Here is a 17,149-nt window from a genome sequence, read left to right as displayed (position 1 = left end):
TGGAGACACTGTCCCTGTCCTCAAACTGCCTACTGACCATTAAGAGACAGATGAATAAACAGACACCCAAGATCCACTGTGGTCAAGGCAATGCTGGTTGTGTGTTGGCTCACGCCTGTAATCCCAGCACTTTGGGAAGCCTAGGTGGGTGGATCACCTGAGGTCAGGAGTTCAAGACCAGCCTGGCCAACATGATGAAATCCCACCTCTACTAAAAATACAAAACATTAGCTGGGCGTCATAGTGAGCGCCTGTAATCCCAGCTACTCGGGAGGCTGAGGCAGGAGAATCACTTGAACCCAGGAGGCAGAGGTTGCAGCGAGCCGAGATTGTACCACTGCACTAAAGTCTGGGCAACAAGAGCGAAACTCTGTGTCAAAAAAACCCCCCAAAAAAACATAGCTCATTGTGGTGGCATATGCCTGTAGTCCCAGCTGCTTGGGAGGTTGAGGTGGGAGGATCGCTTGAGCCTGGGAGCTCCAGGCTGCAGTGATCACACCACTCCACTCCAGCCTGGGCAACAGAGCAAGACCTTGTCTCAAAAAATTAAAAAAAAAAAAAAAAAAAGATAGGGGCAACGCTACAGACGTAGAAAAAGGTTCTTTGTGAAACAGAACAGCCCTCGGGTGGGCTGAGAGCAGGAGGGTGTGGTCAGCTTCCTAGAGGAGGCAACCTGGCTAAGTCTTGAGGGAGAGTAGGTATTCGCCTCACAAAGGCAAAAGGAAAGAACATTCTAGAGCTGTACTGTCCAATATGGTAGCTATCAGCACTTGAAATGTGGTTGGTCTGAAATGACATGTGCTATAAGAATGAAATATACACCAGATTTCAAAGACTTAGTATGAACAAAAGTGAACCATCTCATTAGCAATTTTTTAAATATTGATTTCATGTTGAACTGATAATATCTTGGATTTGTTGTGTTAAAATATACCACTGAAATAATTTCACCTGCTTCTTTTGACTTTTTTCAATGTTTCTACCAGAAAATTTAAAAGTGCACGTGTGGCATAGGTTCTCTTTCTAGGGGACAGCCCTGCTCTAGAGGCAGGGTGCTGCAGAAAATGCTGTTGGTGCCTCCACCCAAGTCCTCTCAGCGTTCGTCCCTTCCTACAGGCTGCTTTCTGCAAATGCCTGCAGCTCCCTGCCTGAGTGCTTGGTTCTGACTGCGGGTGGGGCAGGCTTTGCCTACATGCAGGAAGAGCAGGAAGCACCTCGGATAGGTAATGCCCCTGGAAGCTGCTCTCACCCAGTGATGGATGCAGAATTGGGGGACAAATCCCGCCGTTGCCTTGCCCTCAGTTGGGATCACGAGAGGCATGTTTTACGTCATACCCAGAGGATTTAGCTCCAATGGCCTCAGCAGCCAATGGCTCGACAATGCCCCATTTATTGGTTTCCTTCTCTCTGTTTCCCTGAGTTCCTCCTGATGTTTCTTGGGATCACGTGCCAAATAAACCACTTAGCCTTGAATTCTTGCCTCTGGAGGAACCCAAAACAAGAAGACCAAAACCAGGAGGCTGGGCATGCCGAGGCATACCTGAATCCCAGCACTTTGGGAGGTGAGGCAGGCAGATCGCTTGAGGTCAGGAGCTGGAGACAAGCCTGGCCAACATGGTGAAACCCCGCCTCCACCAAAAATACAAAAATTAGCCAGGTGTGATGACGGGTGCCTGTAATCCCAACCACTCTGGAGGCTGAGACAGGAGAATTGCTTAAACCCGGAAGGGGGAGGTTGCAGTGAGCTGAGATCACGCCACTGCACTCCAGCCTGGGTGACAGAGCAAGACTCCGTCTCATAAATGAATGAATGAATGAATGAATGAATGATCAAGACCAGGAGACGGGCAAGCTGTTTAGTAAGACTGGACCGTCATTTTCAAGCAAGAAAACTGTAAGCAATGAAACTGCAGAAATAACGGGGGCCAGGGGACAAAGGTCAACAGGATCACACTAAGGGTCCTGATCTAATCCTCAGAAGAATGGGGCACCTTTGATGGTTATAATAGGGAAGGACAGGACCAGATATTTTCTGCAATTTAAAAAAATTTGAGATAAAACTCATCATTTTAAAATGTACAGTTCAGGGGGTTCTAGTGTATTCACAATGTTGCGCAACCATCACCTAATTCCAGAACATTTCATCACTCCAAAAAGCCATCTCCCTTATGCATTAGCTGTCACTCCCCCTTCTCCCCTTACCCCAGCCCCTGGCAGGCACCCATCTTCTTTCCTATGGATTTGCCTGTTCTGGATTCCATATAGATCAGTGGTCCCCAAACTTTTTGGCACCAGGGACTGGTTTTGTGGAAGATAATTTTTCCATGGATGGTGGGGTTGAGGGGTCGATTCTTATAAGGAGCGCACAACCTAGATCCCTCCTATGTGCAGTTCACGACAGGGTTCACGCTCACAGTAGGGTTTGCACTCATATGAGAATCTAATGCCACCGATCTGAGAGGAGGCAGAACTCGGGCCGTAATGCTGTGCGGCCCGGTTCCTAACAGGCTACAGACTGGTACTGGTCCACGGCTCGAGGGTCGGGGACCCCTGTTATAAATGGAATAGGAACTTGGAGCTTCGAAGGTTGTCTCCACCCATGGTGTGGATTGTGGACTGGGAAATTCCCTGAGAGAGGCAGGAAGACCAGAGAGAGGACCCGGGGATTCCACAGGGATGGAGAGAAATGGATGAACAAAGATAGATGGAACACACAGAACTGATGGGCCTCTATTTGACTAAATACAGGGGGATGTGCAGTGGAGCACTGAAAAATGACAGCCGAGGCCAGCGCGGTGGCTCAGGCCTGTTATCCTAGCACTAGGGGAGGCCAAGGCGGATGGATCACTCGAGGTCAGAAGTTTGAGACTAGCCTGGCCAATATGGTGAAACCCCGTCACTACTGAAAATACAAAAATTAGCTGGGTGTGGTGGTGGGTGCCTGTAATCCCAGCTACTGGGGAGGCTGAGGCAGGAGAATCGATTGAACCTAGGAGGAGGAGATTGCAGTGAGCCGAAGATTGCGCCATTGCACTCTTGCCTGGGCGACAGAGTGAAACTCCGCCTCAAAAAAAAAAAAAAAAAAAAAAAAAGACAGCCAAGTCTCTTGCCTTGGGCACCTACATAATCGTGGCGCCAGGCACAGGCACCCAGGGCACAGGAGAGGGGGCAGGCTTGAGAAAGAGCAGGGAGAGAGGCATCTGAGAATATAATTAAAGCCCTAGATAGGACAAGAACACTTACATGCATTCATACACCAGCCACTGTGTTCTAGGTGGATTAAACCACTTAATCGTTGCAGCAACCCTATGTGGGAGGTGCCAGGCTACATTCATCAAACAGAAAAGAACACTGAGGCAGGAAATGCTTAAGTTGCCAAAGAGGTCTCAGAACACACGTGTGTCGGCACAGCCAGTTACAAAGCCAAAACCTTTGCATGTGCTCCCTGCATGGACGTGTCAACCCAGGCACAGTTTTTAGTTAGCTGTTTGCCCATGGATGTCACCAACTGATTAGGCTCAACCCAGGCCTGGACGGAGAGTCAGGAGGCCTGTTCTCTGCAGGCTGCCTGGCCTTGGCAAGTCACTGCCCCTCTGCCTCAGTTTCCCATCTGTCAATAGGGAGGCTTGATGTAGAGGAATGGTTCTTACCTTTGGAATCGCCTGAGGGCTTGTGAACACACAGCTTGCTGAGCTCCACCCCCCAAGTGTCTGACCCCGTGGGTCTGGGTAGGGCCCAAGGATGTTTATTTCTACCCAGCACCCAGGTGATGCTTATGCTGCAGGTCCGGGGCCACCCCTTTGAGAACCGCTGCTGATCTTTGGGGCTCACTCAGCCTCTCGTGTTCTAGAATTCATGTTTTCTAACATTTCCAAGGATTTCATGCAGTCATTAAACATGAGGTGTAAAGGGTACAAAATATTCCAGGGCACGAAAAGGTAGGTATCATAGGTGCCTTTTTGTTTTCTTTTGGAGACAGAGTCTCACTCTGTTGCCCAGGCTGGAGTACAGTGGTGCGATCTTGGCTCACTACAACCTCTGCCTCCTGGGTTCAAGTGATTCTCATGCCCAGTCTCCTGAGGAGCTGGGCTTATAGATATGCACCACCATGCCTGGCTAATTTTTGTATTTTTATTTAAAATAAAATTTCAGGCCGGGCATGGTGGTTCACGCCTATAATCCCAGCACTCTGGGAGGCCAACACGGGCGGATCAACTGAGGTTGGGAGTTTGCGACCAGCCTGACCAACATGGAGATACCCTGTTTCAGCTAAAAATACAAAATTAGCCGGGTGTGGTGGTGCATGCCTGTCATTCCAGCTATTTGGGAGGCTGAGGCAGAAGAATCGCTTGAACCCAGGAGGCAGAGGTTGTGGTGAGCCGAGATCGCGCCATTACACTCCAGCCTGGGCAACAAGAGTGAAACTCCTTCTCAAAAAAAAAAAAAAATTAAAATTAAATGCATTGAAAGTAATGGCAAAAACCGCGATTATTTTTGCACCAACCAAATAATAAAGACAGTGTTTCACCATACCAGGTTGGCCAGGCTGGGGTGCCTGGTTTTTTTTTATTTATTTATTTTTGAGACAGGGTCTCACTCTTGCCAAGGCCAGAGTGCAGTGGCACGATCTCAGCTCACTGCAACCTCTGCCTCCGGGGTTCAAGCAATTCTACTACCTCATCCTCCTGAGTAGCTGGGACTACAGGTGCATGCCACCACCCCTGGCTAATTTGTGTATTTTTAGTAGAGAGGGATTTCGCCATGTTAGCCAGGCTGGTCTCAAACTCCTGGCTTCAAGTGATCCACCCTCTTTGGCCTCCGAAAGTGCTGGGACCACAGGCGTGAGCCACCGCACCTGGCCGTGGGGTGTCTTTTTAAAAAATAAAATATGTACAGATGAACAGTCAAATTGAGAAAAAAAATAAAAATGTAATAGTATACATTTGCTTTTTGAAAAACTGTTTACAAATATAGTAATCTATCAATTGATCTACCTATGTTTTAAAAAGTTAAAGGAAATAGACCCAAATATTAATAGTGGTTAAGAGATTTCAAAATACAGCTGATTTTATTTCCTTCCATGTTCTCATTTGCACTCCTAATTAATTTATATATAATTTAATATACATACAGCTATATATATATACAGATTGATAGCTATAGATTGTGCCTTACCTTTGTAACCAGGAAAATATATACATAAAAGCTATTTTTTTTTTGTTTCAAAAGACTCCCAAGGCAATTGCTCAGTTGAAAAGCTTCAATCTGATGTTCTCACGAAAATCACTCACAGTTGTCCTCTCCTTATGAACAATTCCAGTCCATCTAGCAGATGAAAATGCCTGCAGGCCTGAGCTGACTCAGCTGTTCTTAAAACTGAGCGAGCACCACTCTGGGGACCCGGGAGTCCAGAACCAGGAACTGCCCTTTAGAGTCGAAATGGTACCAGGAAAGTGGCAACTCAAAAGAGGAGGAAAAAGAGATATAAAAGATTAAGCGAAACACAGAGCCTCTAAAGGATAGAAGGTCCTACTCCTATAGGCTCTGCAGGAGCTCACACCTGTGAGTTCCTGAGAGAAAATCACATCAGACTCTGCAATCCCCTGCAAGTGTGCGTGGTGGATGTGCATGCGTGGGAGCTCATGCACGCCCCTCTAAGCATTTTGAAACTAATTTAGAATGCATACATTTGCACAAATACATCATGCATCTGAGACAGGCAGCAGTTTGCAGATTAATCCCATTGTCTATGTACCCACTGGGGCATTCCAATGCTTTTTTCCTGGGAACAGTGAGACTGACTCTCCTCCCTTTGCAAACGGAGTTATAATGTGTAAAAGAATACCTAGATTTTCACAGAAAATGTGTCCCCTCTCTGTACTGTTTTCCAGACTTTCCAAAAGTAATTTACAATTAGTATTACTTATATCATCAGGAAAAAATAGTGTCCATCTAAACACAAGGAAGAAGCCAGGTGCAGTGGCTCACCCCTGTAATCCTAGCACTTTCGGAGGCCGAGGTGGGTGGATCACTTGAGGCTAGGAGTTCGAGACCAGCCTGGCCAACATGCTGAAACCCCGTCTCTACTAAAAACACACAGATTAGCCGGGCTTGGTGGTGGGTGCCTGTAATCTCAGCTACTCGGGAGGCTGTGGTGGGAGGATCGTTTGAACCCAGGAGGCAGAGGTTGCAGTGGGCCGAGATCAAGCCACTGGACTCCAGCCCGGGCGACAGAGCGAGACTCCGCCTCAAAAAAAAAAAAAATAATAAAATAAATAGAAGAAAGAGCCCAGTGTTTATCAGAATGCTCACCTGTCACTTTGGCCCTCACAGGCTCCAGCTGTTCTTTCCTATTCCTGCCAAATATTATATCCATTGCTCAGGGTGCCGAGGGAGATCGATTTTAACAGCAAACAGGTGCTCCTCTGTGTTCACAGGAGATGCTGCTCCCTCCTCCTGCGTTTCCTTCCTGCTCTCCTGCTCCTTCCCTCCTTCACATCTCTGTCTCTCCTGATGCCGTTTCTGCCTTTGCTTTTTCCTTTTTGGCTGGCTCTCACTTGTCCCTCTCCAAGAGCCCTGGATCTCTTTACATTCACAAGGGAAGCTGCGCTGGCGTTACTTATAAGATGTTTGGTTAAAGGTTAATTTCCAAGCCATGTGTCATAGCTAATCTTTAATCCTCTTATTGTTCCCTCAGCTTTCCCTCTCCAGTTTCACTTTTGACTTAACCAAAAAAAAAAAAAAGCTTGCTTCAGACTAGGTTCTAAATAAGCAGAGAGAATTCCGTGCCTGCTGTTATGTTGCCCGACGTAATCCAAGAGCTGGAGTTGTTTATGATCAGAACAAGAAGAGATGCTGGGAATCAGAGGTGCTGGGAATTAGGAGAAACTTGAGCTAAGCTCTGTGATCACTGAATGTCTGCTGCACAGCAGGGAACCCCTTCAGCAGAGACGGGAAAGGTTTTACATTTTGTTTTGTTTTTAGTAAAGGCCCCGATGCTCCCCTCTAATAATCATACATAAAGAGCCACTTAATTCATTATTTTCTTTTTGGAAGAAGGAGACATAAAATGTTTCATGTACCTATTTAAAAAATAACGAACGGGAACCAAAGGCTTTTCTCAGAAACTATAAAGAATAGTAAAAAAGACGGGCCAGGAGTGGTGGCTCATGCCTGTAATCCCAGAACTTTGGGAGGCCATGGTTGGCGGGTCACTTGAGGTCAGGAGTTCGAGACCAGCCTGGCCAACACGGCGAAATCCTGTCTCTACTAAAAATACAAAAATTATCCAGGCGTGGTGGAAGACGCCTGCAATCCCAGATGCTAAGGAGGCTGAGGCAGGAAAATCGCTTGAACCTGTGAGGCAGACATTGCAGTAAGCTGAGATGGCACCACTGCACTCCAGCCTCGGCCACAGAGTGAGACTCTGTCTCAAAAAATAAATAAGTAAACAGAATAGTTAAAAAGAAACTTCAACTTCCTGGCCTATCAAGAGGGCAAAACAATGCCTGAATTTGATCTGAGCTTCCCTATTATTCGTGTATCTTCGTGTGTTGCCATTGCCTGAAATTCGTATTCAACTTGCTATATGCACTGATTGAAGTTAATGAACTCATCTTAACGTATTTTGCTTAAAGAAAGAACCAGTCATTTGCTCTGTGGGTAGAGTAAGAAAAGGCAGTGGCACTGGCCTTTATGCAACCCAGCTGAGAATAATGATGGTCCGGTCTGGGCTGAGAGCACATGCCAGCACCTTGGGCCGTTCATTCCTGACAGCTGTGTGGTCTGGCTGTGCTTCCGCCCTGGCACACATTGGAATCACCTGATTGGCAGTACTAAATGTATCAGTGCTGGGCCTCACTCCAGACCCACTGACGCAGAATCTCTGAAGGTGGATCTCAGCCATCAGTTTTTTTTTTTTATGTTGGCCGGGTGTAGTGGCTCACACCTGTAATCCTAGCACTTTCGGAGGCCAAGGCGGGAGGATCACTTGAGCCCAGGAATTAAGACCAGCCTAGGCAACATATTGAGGCTCCGTCTCTACCAAAAAAAATTAGCTGGGCATGGTGGTGCGTGCCTGTAGTCCCAACTACTTGGGAGGCTGAGGTGGGAGGATCACTTGAGTCTGGGAGGTTGAGGCTGCAGTGAACTGTGATAGCAGCACTGGACTCCAGCCTGGGCAACAAAGCAAGCCCTTATCTCAAAAATAAAACATACGGAGGCAGAGGCGGGCGGATCACGAGGTCAGGAGATCAAGACCATCCTGGCTAACACCGTGAAACCCCGTCTCTACTAAAAATACAAAAAATTAGCCGGGCGTGGTGGCAGGTGCCTGTAGTCCCAGCTACTCGGGAGCCTGAGGCAGGAGAATGGCGTGAACCCAGGAGGCAGAGCTTGCAGTGAGCCGAGATCGCGCCACTGCACTCTAGCCTGGGCGACAGAGCAAGACTCCGTCTCAAAATAATAATAATAATTAAAAAAATAATAAAAAGTACCTACATGTGTGCAGCAGGAGTTGAGAAGACCTGACCCAGAGGAAAGATGCTACATGCCTGAGTTGAAACTAAATTTAAATTATAGCTGATTGGCTAGGCATGGTGGCTCATGCTTATAATCCCATCACTTTGGGAGGCCAAGGCAGGCAGATCACCTGAGGTCAGGAGTTCAAGACCTACCTGGCCAACATGGTGAAACCTCGTTTCTACTAAAAATACAATACAAAAATTAGCTGGGCATGGTGATGGGCACCTGTAATCCCAGCTACTCAAGAGGCTGAGGCAGGAGAATCACTTGAAACCAGGAGGTGGAGGTTGCAGTGAGCCAAGATGGTGCCACTGTACTCCAGCGTGGGTGACAGAGTGAGACTCCAACTCAGAAAAAAAAAAATTGCAGCTCATCCTTTTATATTTTTTGAGATGGAGTCTCGTTCTGTCACCCAGGCTGGAGTGCAGTGGCGTGATCTTGGCTCACTGCAGTCTCTGCCTTCCGGGTTCAAGCGATTCTTCTGCCTTATCCTCCCAAGCAGCTGGGATTACAGGTGCCTGCCACCATCCCCAGCTAATTTTTGTATTTTTAGTAGAGATGGGGTTTCACCATATTGGCCGGGCTGCTCTGAAACCCCTGACCTCAAGTGATCCACCCGCCTTGGCCTCCCAAAGTGCTGGGGTTAGAGGCGTGAGCCATCGCGCCTGGCCAGCTCGTCCATTTTCTGTGTGTCTGGGCCATTCTACCCTCTTTGAGCCTCCTTTTTTTCAACTATAAAGTGAGGCATAACGATATTAGCACCTCAAGCCTATTGTATAGGGTCTAGCAAAAGCACCTGGTCTCAGACAGTTACCAAACAATGCCTTTACCTTTTCCTCCCATTCTCTTAGAGGGCATTTCCCTATGAACCACCTTTCCAGTAAGACCTCCAATAACTTGCCAGTTTATCCCGCTGTGTGGTCTAAACACGTGTATCCATGTCAGAGTTCTTTATTCCTAGCTTGTGGAAGCTGCGTTCTTGTGAGGATTACATGGGAATGTCTGGCATACTCTAAGGGCTCTGGGAAAAAAACGACACCACCACGGTGCAAGAAAGAGCTCAGGGCTTAGAGGTCAGAAGACCTGGGTTTGGACCTCAGCTCTGAGATTCAGCAACCCTGCAGCTTTTGTCACGTGACTTCTCTGAACCTCACTTCACTCGGCAAAATGGGGGTGGCAGTATCTGTGTCACAGGGCTTGTTGGAAGGGTTACAACAAAACCATATGAGTGAAGACATGCCAGGTGCGGTGGCTCAAGCCTGTAATCCCAGCACTTTGGGAGGCCGAGGCGGGCAGATCACTTGAGGTCAGGAGTTCGAGACCAGCCTGGCAAATATGGTAAAACCCCGTCTCTACTAAAAATACAAAAATTAGCCTGGTATAGTGGTGTGCACCTGTAATCCCAGCTTCTTGGGAGGCTGAGGCAGGAGAATTGCTTGAACCTGGCAGGTGAAGGTTGCAGTGAGCTGAGATTCTACCACTGCACTCCAGCCTGGGCAACAGAGCAAGAATCTGTCTCAAAAAAAAAATAATAATTTATATATATATATATATATATATTTATATATATATATATATATATATATATATATATATATATATATGAGTCAAAACATGACTGTGATCTCCCTTCTTGTCAATCTTTGCATATTCAGAAAAGCAACTGAGCAGTTTACCTGCACTGGCTCACCCTGGCCTTACACAGTCCTATGAGATGTGTGTTCCTACCACCATTCTCAAGGTCAGAGAGTACAGGGAAGATAACTTGCTTGCCCTCGGTCTCAAAGTGAGGAGCAGCTCAAATTAGGAGGCACAGCCAGGCAGCCCGACTTCAAAGTACTTACTCTGACAATTCTACACAGCTCCAACGCACGATGGGTGTCTGCTGGATTTTTACTGAATGAAGTAATGGGTGGATGGGCCCTGAGAGGACCAGTCTTGGGTCTTGGGTTGGTGTCACTGCATTCTTATATCAGAGAAAGGGCAAGCTCTCTTATCCAGGTTCCAACTGCACCCAAGGGACAGTTAGATAGTAAGATAAAGGTTTTTGAAAATACAAATGGAGTCCGGGCACGGTGGCTCACACCTGTAATCCCAGCACTTTGGGAGGATGAGGCTGAGGCTGATGGAACACTTGAGGTCAGAAGTCTGAGACCAGCCTGGGCAACACAGCGAGACCTTGCCTCTATGAAAAATAGAAAAATTAGCTGGCAGTGGTGGTGGTGGCAAACACCTGTGGTCCCAGCTACTTGGGAGGCTGAAGTGGGAGGATCGCCTGAGCTCAGGGAGTTTGAGGCTGCAGTGAGCCATGTTTGCACCACTTCACTTCAGCCTGGACGACAGAGACCCTATCTCAAAACAAACAAACACACACCACATACAAAAATACCCCCACAAAAAAAACTAATGGTGGTAATAAATTAAGCCTAACAATAGATATCTGTGTAAGTTTGCTAGGGCTGCCATAGCAAATGCCACAGACTGGGTGGCTTAAACAACAGAATTTTTTTTTCTCACAGTTCTAGGGGCTAGGAGTCTGAGATCAAGGTATCAGGTTTTGGCTGGGCATGGTGGCTCATGCCTGTAATCCCAGCACTTTGGGAGGCCTCGATGAGCGGATTGCCCCAGGTCAGGAGTTCAAGACCAGCCTGGCCAACATCGTGAAACCCCGTCTTTACTAAACATACAAAATTAGCCAGGCATCGTGGCACATGCCAGTAATCTCAGCTACTGGGGAGGCTGAGGCAGGAGAATTGCTTGAAGTGGCAAGGCAGAGGTTGCAGTGAGCTGAGATCCCACCACTCCAGCCAGGTGTGTTTGACACTGCAGTGAGCTATGATTGCACCCCTGCACTCCAGCCTGGGCAACAGAGTAAGACTCCGTCTCAAAAAAGCGAAACCAAACAAACAAAAAACCAAACAAACAAACAAACAAAAAAAACAAGGTATCAGGTTGTTTGGGAGATGAAGGTAGCAGGTGTGATTTCTTGCTGTGTCTTCATATCATCTTTCTCTGTGCGCACATCCTTGGTGTCTCTTGGTGTGTCTGAATTTCCTCTTCTTTCATTTTTAAATTTTATTTATTTATTTAAGAGACATGGTCTCACTCTGTTGCCCAGACTGGAGTGCAGTGGTGCAATCATAGCTCACTACAGTCTCAAACACCTGGGCTCAAGCCATCCTCCTGCCTCAGCCTCCTGAGTAGCTAGGACTGCAGGCACAAGCTGCTGTGCCCAATCAAATTTCCTCTTCTTGTAATGAGACCAATTATATTGGATCAGGGGCCAACCTAATGGACTCATTTTAATTTAATCACCTTTTTAACGACCCTATCTCCAAATACAGTCACATTCTGCCGTATGGGGTGTTAGGGCTTCAACGTATGAATTTTACAGAACACAATTCAGCCCGTAACAATATCATTAAGTCACAATGTGTAAGGGAAGACACTTTTGCTGCAGGTAGCAGAACATCTGCTGAAACTCCAAAGATGTGCATTTATTGCAGACATCAAGCCATCGAGAGGTGGCATGCTGGTTGACGCGGAAGCTCGCCTAGCAAGGGCTTCCACACTTCTAGCCTCAGAAGGTTGTCTTCTCACTGTTGGCTTGTTCAGTTCTGGTTATGAATGATTGCCGTTGCCTGGGAAATCATGGCCTCACATAGAGATGTGGAAAAGCAGGAAGATAAGGCAGGGACAGAAGAGGAGTTTTCTTTGTAGACCTCTCATTTTATGCTGGAGGGAAATCTTTCCCAGAATCCTCTGAGCAGATTTTCTCTTGTGCCTCATTGGCTGAATAGAACTGTGTCACATGACCACCCCTAACCAATCCTCAACAAAGAGGAACAGGAGCGCTTTAATTTCCTCAGACAAACTTTAATTTAATTTCCTCCCAGTCACCCCTGGAGTGGCATCATTGCCACCTGGATCTTGTCAGAATTCCATTATCAAGGAAAAAGGAGGGAATGGCCTAGGATAGGCAACTGACAGTGTCCGCTGCAGGCAGTGCATTCAACACCTTTTTTTTTTTTTTTTGAGACAGGGTCTCACTCTGTCACCCAGGCTGGAGTGCAATGGTGCAGTCTCAGCTCACTGCAGCCTCAACCTCCTATGTTCAAGTGATCCTCCCACCTCAGCCTCTTGAATAGCTGGGACAATAGGCCTGTGCCACCACTCTAGGCTAATTTTTTTGTATTTTGTGGAAATGGTGTTTTGCCATATTGCCCAGGCAATTGGGCAAGTGGTCCCAAACTCCTGAGCTCAAGCGATCCACCTGCCTTGGCCTCCCAAAGTGTTGAGATTACAGGCATGAGCCACCGACCCTGGCCCATTCAACACATATTGATTGAGCACCTACTATGTGCTGGAAATGTAGCAGTGAACAAAACAAATCTGTGCCTTTTTGGACCTGACACCTACTACACGCCAAACTCTGAGGGAATAGAGGTGATTAATGACACCCAGTCTCTGCCTTTTTTGGCCCTCATGATGTTCTTTTTGTTTGGAGGCTGAGGCTGGACATATATTTCCCAAAGGGGAAGGTGTCTCACAGTGGTTTGCAGAACTGCCTTCATGTTGAAAACCCATCGACATGAAGCAGCAGCTGCTCTTCCCCTCAAAAGCTCTGGCATTGCTCTGAACCCATGGAGGCCTGACCCCTGTGTTCTGTTGTTTTCACTAATGTGGGGAGAATGGGATGAGGGGTTGGTTCCAGTAGAAGCTGTCTCCTGGCCTGCTCTCCTCCAGCCTCTGATCTGAATGCTTGCACGTGCTGGTTACTGGGCTAAGTGTTCTAGCAGCAGTCTTTCTTTTAATCCCTCCACATCCTTGCAAGGATGTCAGTAGCAATCTTAATTTTATAGTCTCAGCGATGTGGAGTAACTTGAGGTAGGTCAACAGCCGATCAGTACATGTTCTTCCCCACAAAACTGTAATGCTTCCCACCTTTCAGAGCTGCTGGCTGGGGAAGAGCTAGGAGAGCAAAGGTGAGTGTTTCACAGACAATTTGTATAATGCATTCACTGCCTTAAAACGGGACTGAAAACTGGCCAGTGCATAAGAGAACAGGGGCAATGGCAATGTAGAGAGAAATGGCACATCTTATGTAAGAGTTTTGGTTATTTATTGCTGTGTAACATCCCACTCCAAAATGTAGTGGCTTAAAACAACAATCATCCATACGCTTTCTAAGTTCTGCAGGTTGCGTGGGCTCAGCTGGGCAGTTCTTCTGCTTTCATTGCTCAGCTTTCCTTACATGGTTGCTGGAATTGACTAGGATGACTAGGATGTTAGAGGGGCTGGGCCTTGGCCTCGCTTTCTCTCTGTGAGATCTTACCAGCACAGTAGCCAAACTTCTTATAATACATAGCATCAAATGTCTCCCAAAGGTGAGTGACACGAGAGAGAGGAAGCAGAAGTTGCCAATACCTTTTAAGGCTACACCAGAATTGAGATAGTTTAGCTTCCACTGCCTTCTATTGGTTAGAACCAATCACAGGGCCAGCAAAAATTCCGTGAGGAGGGACCATTCAAGGTTGTGACTATAGGGTCTGGGCTATATGGTCCCTTTGGGGCCATCTTTGGAAACTAGCTACCCCGACAGACTCATTTGCATTTGTGTTTCAGTTCTTCCGCTTACAAACTAAATGTCTGAACCACGTACTTAAGTCTCAGACCCTCAGTTTCCTGATCTCTGAAATGGAAATTATAACATCTGCCTCATTGACTGGCTACAAAGTTTAAATTAAACAGTGTAAAACTGTGTATGTCACAGTGCTTAAAATACAGTAGGCACTCAGAGCATTCTTTCCCCCTTTCTTTTCTTGGGAAAGACAGAAAAACTGAAACGGCCAGCCAATATAATAATCAAACATACTAATTTTGAGTTACTTGCATGCAGTTGAAAAATAGACACCAATACACAGGAACGTTGGGATTTAAGTCTCTTTTAGCCTGGCTGTGAAGCCATATACATACACAGTAAGTAATAATTAGTTGCCTAGAATAGCTGCTCTACAAGAGGCACAGATAGGAACTATCATAGGGGTTCTGAGGAAGGAAAGCTTGGTGATGCTGTGGAGGATTAGGAAAGAAGGCTTCCTGGAGGAGGGGGTGCACAGCTGAGCCCTTGAGAGTGGGAAGTATTTGGATGGGGAAGGAGGAGGGGGTGAACTCTCCAGGCAGGAGGACTATTGGCCATTTATTGAGAGCTTTATATATGCCAGACCCTCTTCTAACCCTTTTACACATACGAGTCCATGTCCTCCTCACAATAATCCTGAGTTTAGGTGGTTTTGCCCCATTTTAAAGATAAGGAAAGTGAGGCACAGAGAAGCTAAGAAACTTGCTCAGTATCCCAGAGCTGGGCTTGGCTCTAGAATCTGTACTTGCAGCCATGTTCATCTCCACTACCTGGGGCTGGTAAGTGGATTAAGGATTGCACTGTGCAGCTTTTATAAGAATATGGCCTTTATACTGCAGGCAATAGCATCCTAGGAGAAGATGTTCAGTGAAGCTATTCATGTGACAGCTTAGCTGTGCTGTTCAACACAGTAGCCGCTAAGCACACTCGGCTATTTACATTTAAATATACGTTAATTGCAACGAAGTTAAATGAAAAAGTGAGCTCCTCATTCACAGTAGCCACATTTCAAGGGCTCTGTGGCCCTGTGTGGTTGGTGGCTGTTATACTGGACAGTACAGTCACAGAACATTTCCATGATCACAGAAAGTTCTATTGACAGTGCTGAGTTAGCAGAACTGCTAAGATGGCATTTATAGGCGACCAAGGGAGGCCAAGGCAGTTATGGCTGGATGGAAAGCCAGTTGAGAGGGTGCAATGTCAGGGAAGTCCGTGGCTGACAATGGTAAAAATGTAAATTAGTCCATGTATCCATTCATTCATCGGTTCCATAAATATAGAACACAGCATGCTTGGCAACAGAGGAAGGTATGGGACATCGTACAAGGCTGGAGGAGCGCAGTGGAGAGCGGACATCACAGAAAGACTAATGTTTGCTCCAAGACCTGAAGGATTGCTAGGCATTGGCCATGTGGAGAAGACAAGAAGAGCGTTCCTACTAGCAGGACCTGCTTGTGCCCAGATTCAATATATTACATGGGGTGGCCGCTACACAAATTGCTCTGGATTGTGGGAGGGAGAGGTGTGCGTTGTGTAGGGCTGTGGCGGGAGAAAAGCAAGAAAGGTGAGCAAAAGAGAGAGGAACGGAGGGAACAGGAAAATTTCCAACAGATTGTGGGAGTGGAGGTGCGAGTTGCTGAGAGGAAACCAGGAAGAAAATTAGAGCATAGAGGGAGAAAGTCTGCATTGCACACAGGCCTTGGGAAGAAACACAGAGCAAGGAGGTCTGCATTGCATGAAGGCCTTTACCAGGCCCCTCCTGGCATTGGTGTCGGGTTGGAGATCTCCTGGATTCCTCACAAGGCACACATGTTTGCACAAGTTGACAGTGCTGCTTCTGTAGCAATCCAGAGATAGCAGAATTGGGTTTGCACTGGGAGGGTGGAAGGCTGGGAGTAGAATCACACACACTCAGCCCTTGGGAGGCTCTAAGATACTCTCAGAGGAAGTAGAATGCCTTCACCTCCTCCTTTTGCGGAGAGCAAAAACGTGAACTTCGGGGCTGGAGAAGGAAGGGAGTTCACATAGAGTGTGCCCCCTTCTCTGCATTTTGCACCCATCGAATCTTCTAATCCTTGCACAGGCACTGTTTGGCAGGAACTATTATTATCCCCATCTTATGGACAAAGCAGCAGAAACTTGGTAAGGTCAGAGATCATACAATATGTGATGGAGGTGGGAGATTTGACCATGGGATCCTTTTCCTTGAATGATTTTGGGAAGGGGCAGGGAAGAGGTGTCGCTCCTTCCCTGAGGCCACTTGTCCCACAGGACGGGTGGAGCCTATAGAACAGTCATGAGGTTAAGAAATAAAAGCGAGTTCAAAAAGTTTTCATGCTATTAAAAACACAACAGCCTTATTTTGTAATTCTATATCTCTGATTACAAAATGATTAGCTAAGATTAGTTAATATTAACCTTTTGGAGATAATATTATCATATTTAAATTACTTTGCAATTTTCCAATTAAGTTTGCTTCTAAATGGTGCCTCTAATTAGCCAGAGCGATAAGTTGACCAGATAACAAAGAGATCTTTGAAATCTTAGATAGCAGAGTCCATAGTGACAGCCGAAGTCCCCTCAAAGGTGGCACCTGCTGTCCCCGCAAAGGGAGAACAGCACGGGTAACCAGACAGCGTCCTTGGGGCTTCTGGAGGAAAAACTTCACTGGGGGCAGTGGCTCACGCCTGTAATCCCAGCACTTTGGGAGGGCGAGACAGGCAGATCACCTGAGGTCAGGAGTTCAAGACCAGCCTGGAGAACATGGTGAAACCCTGTAGCTACTAAAAATACAAAAATTAGCTGGGCATGGTGGCGGGCCCCTGTAATCCCAGCTACTTGGGAGGCTGAGGCAGGATAATTGCTTGAACCCAGGAGGCAGAGGTTGCAGTGAGCCAAGATCTTGCCATTGCACTCCAGCCTGGGCGACAGGAGCAAAACTCCATCTCAAAACAAACAAACAAACAAACAAACAAAACAAAACAA

The 17,149-nt window shown here is 46.8% G+C and overlaps 1 protein-coding gene across 6 annotated transcripts in view; it reads right to left on the bottom strand.

Moving 5' to 3' along the window:
* The window catches only part of BCO1 (beta-carotene oxygenase 1), a 52,454-nt gene extending 45,858 nt beyond the window's left edge, over nt 1–6,596 (bottom strand). For all 6 annotated transcript variants that reach the window (NM_017429.3, XM_017023287.3, XM_017023286.3 and 3 more), the window contains exon 1: nt 6,313–6,596. In NM_017429.3, coding sequence (NP_059125.2) covers nt 6,313–6,376 — 64 coding nt within the window. In that variant the 5' untranslated portion in view covers nt 6,377–6,596. The remainder of the gene's footprint in view (nt 1–6,312) is intronic.

The sequence above is a fragment of the Homo sapiens genome, chromosome 16 (assembly GCF_000001405.40).
Source record: "Homo sapiens chromosome 16, GRCh38.p14 Primary Assembly".
In the NCBI taxonomy this organism is placed as follows: domain Eukaryota; kingdom Metazoa; phylum Chordata; class Mammalia; order Primates; family Hominidae; genus Homo; species Homo sapiens.
Note: the sequence above shows the minus strand (reverse complement) of the source record. Positions and strands in the feature narration are given on the sequence as shown.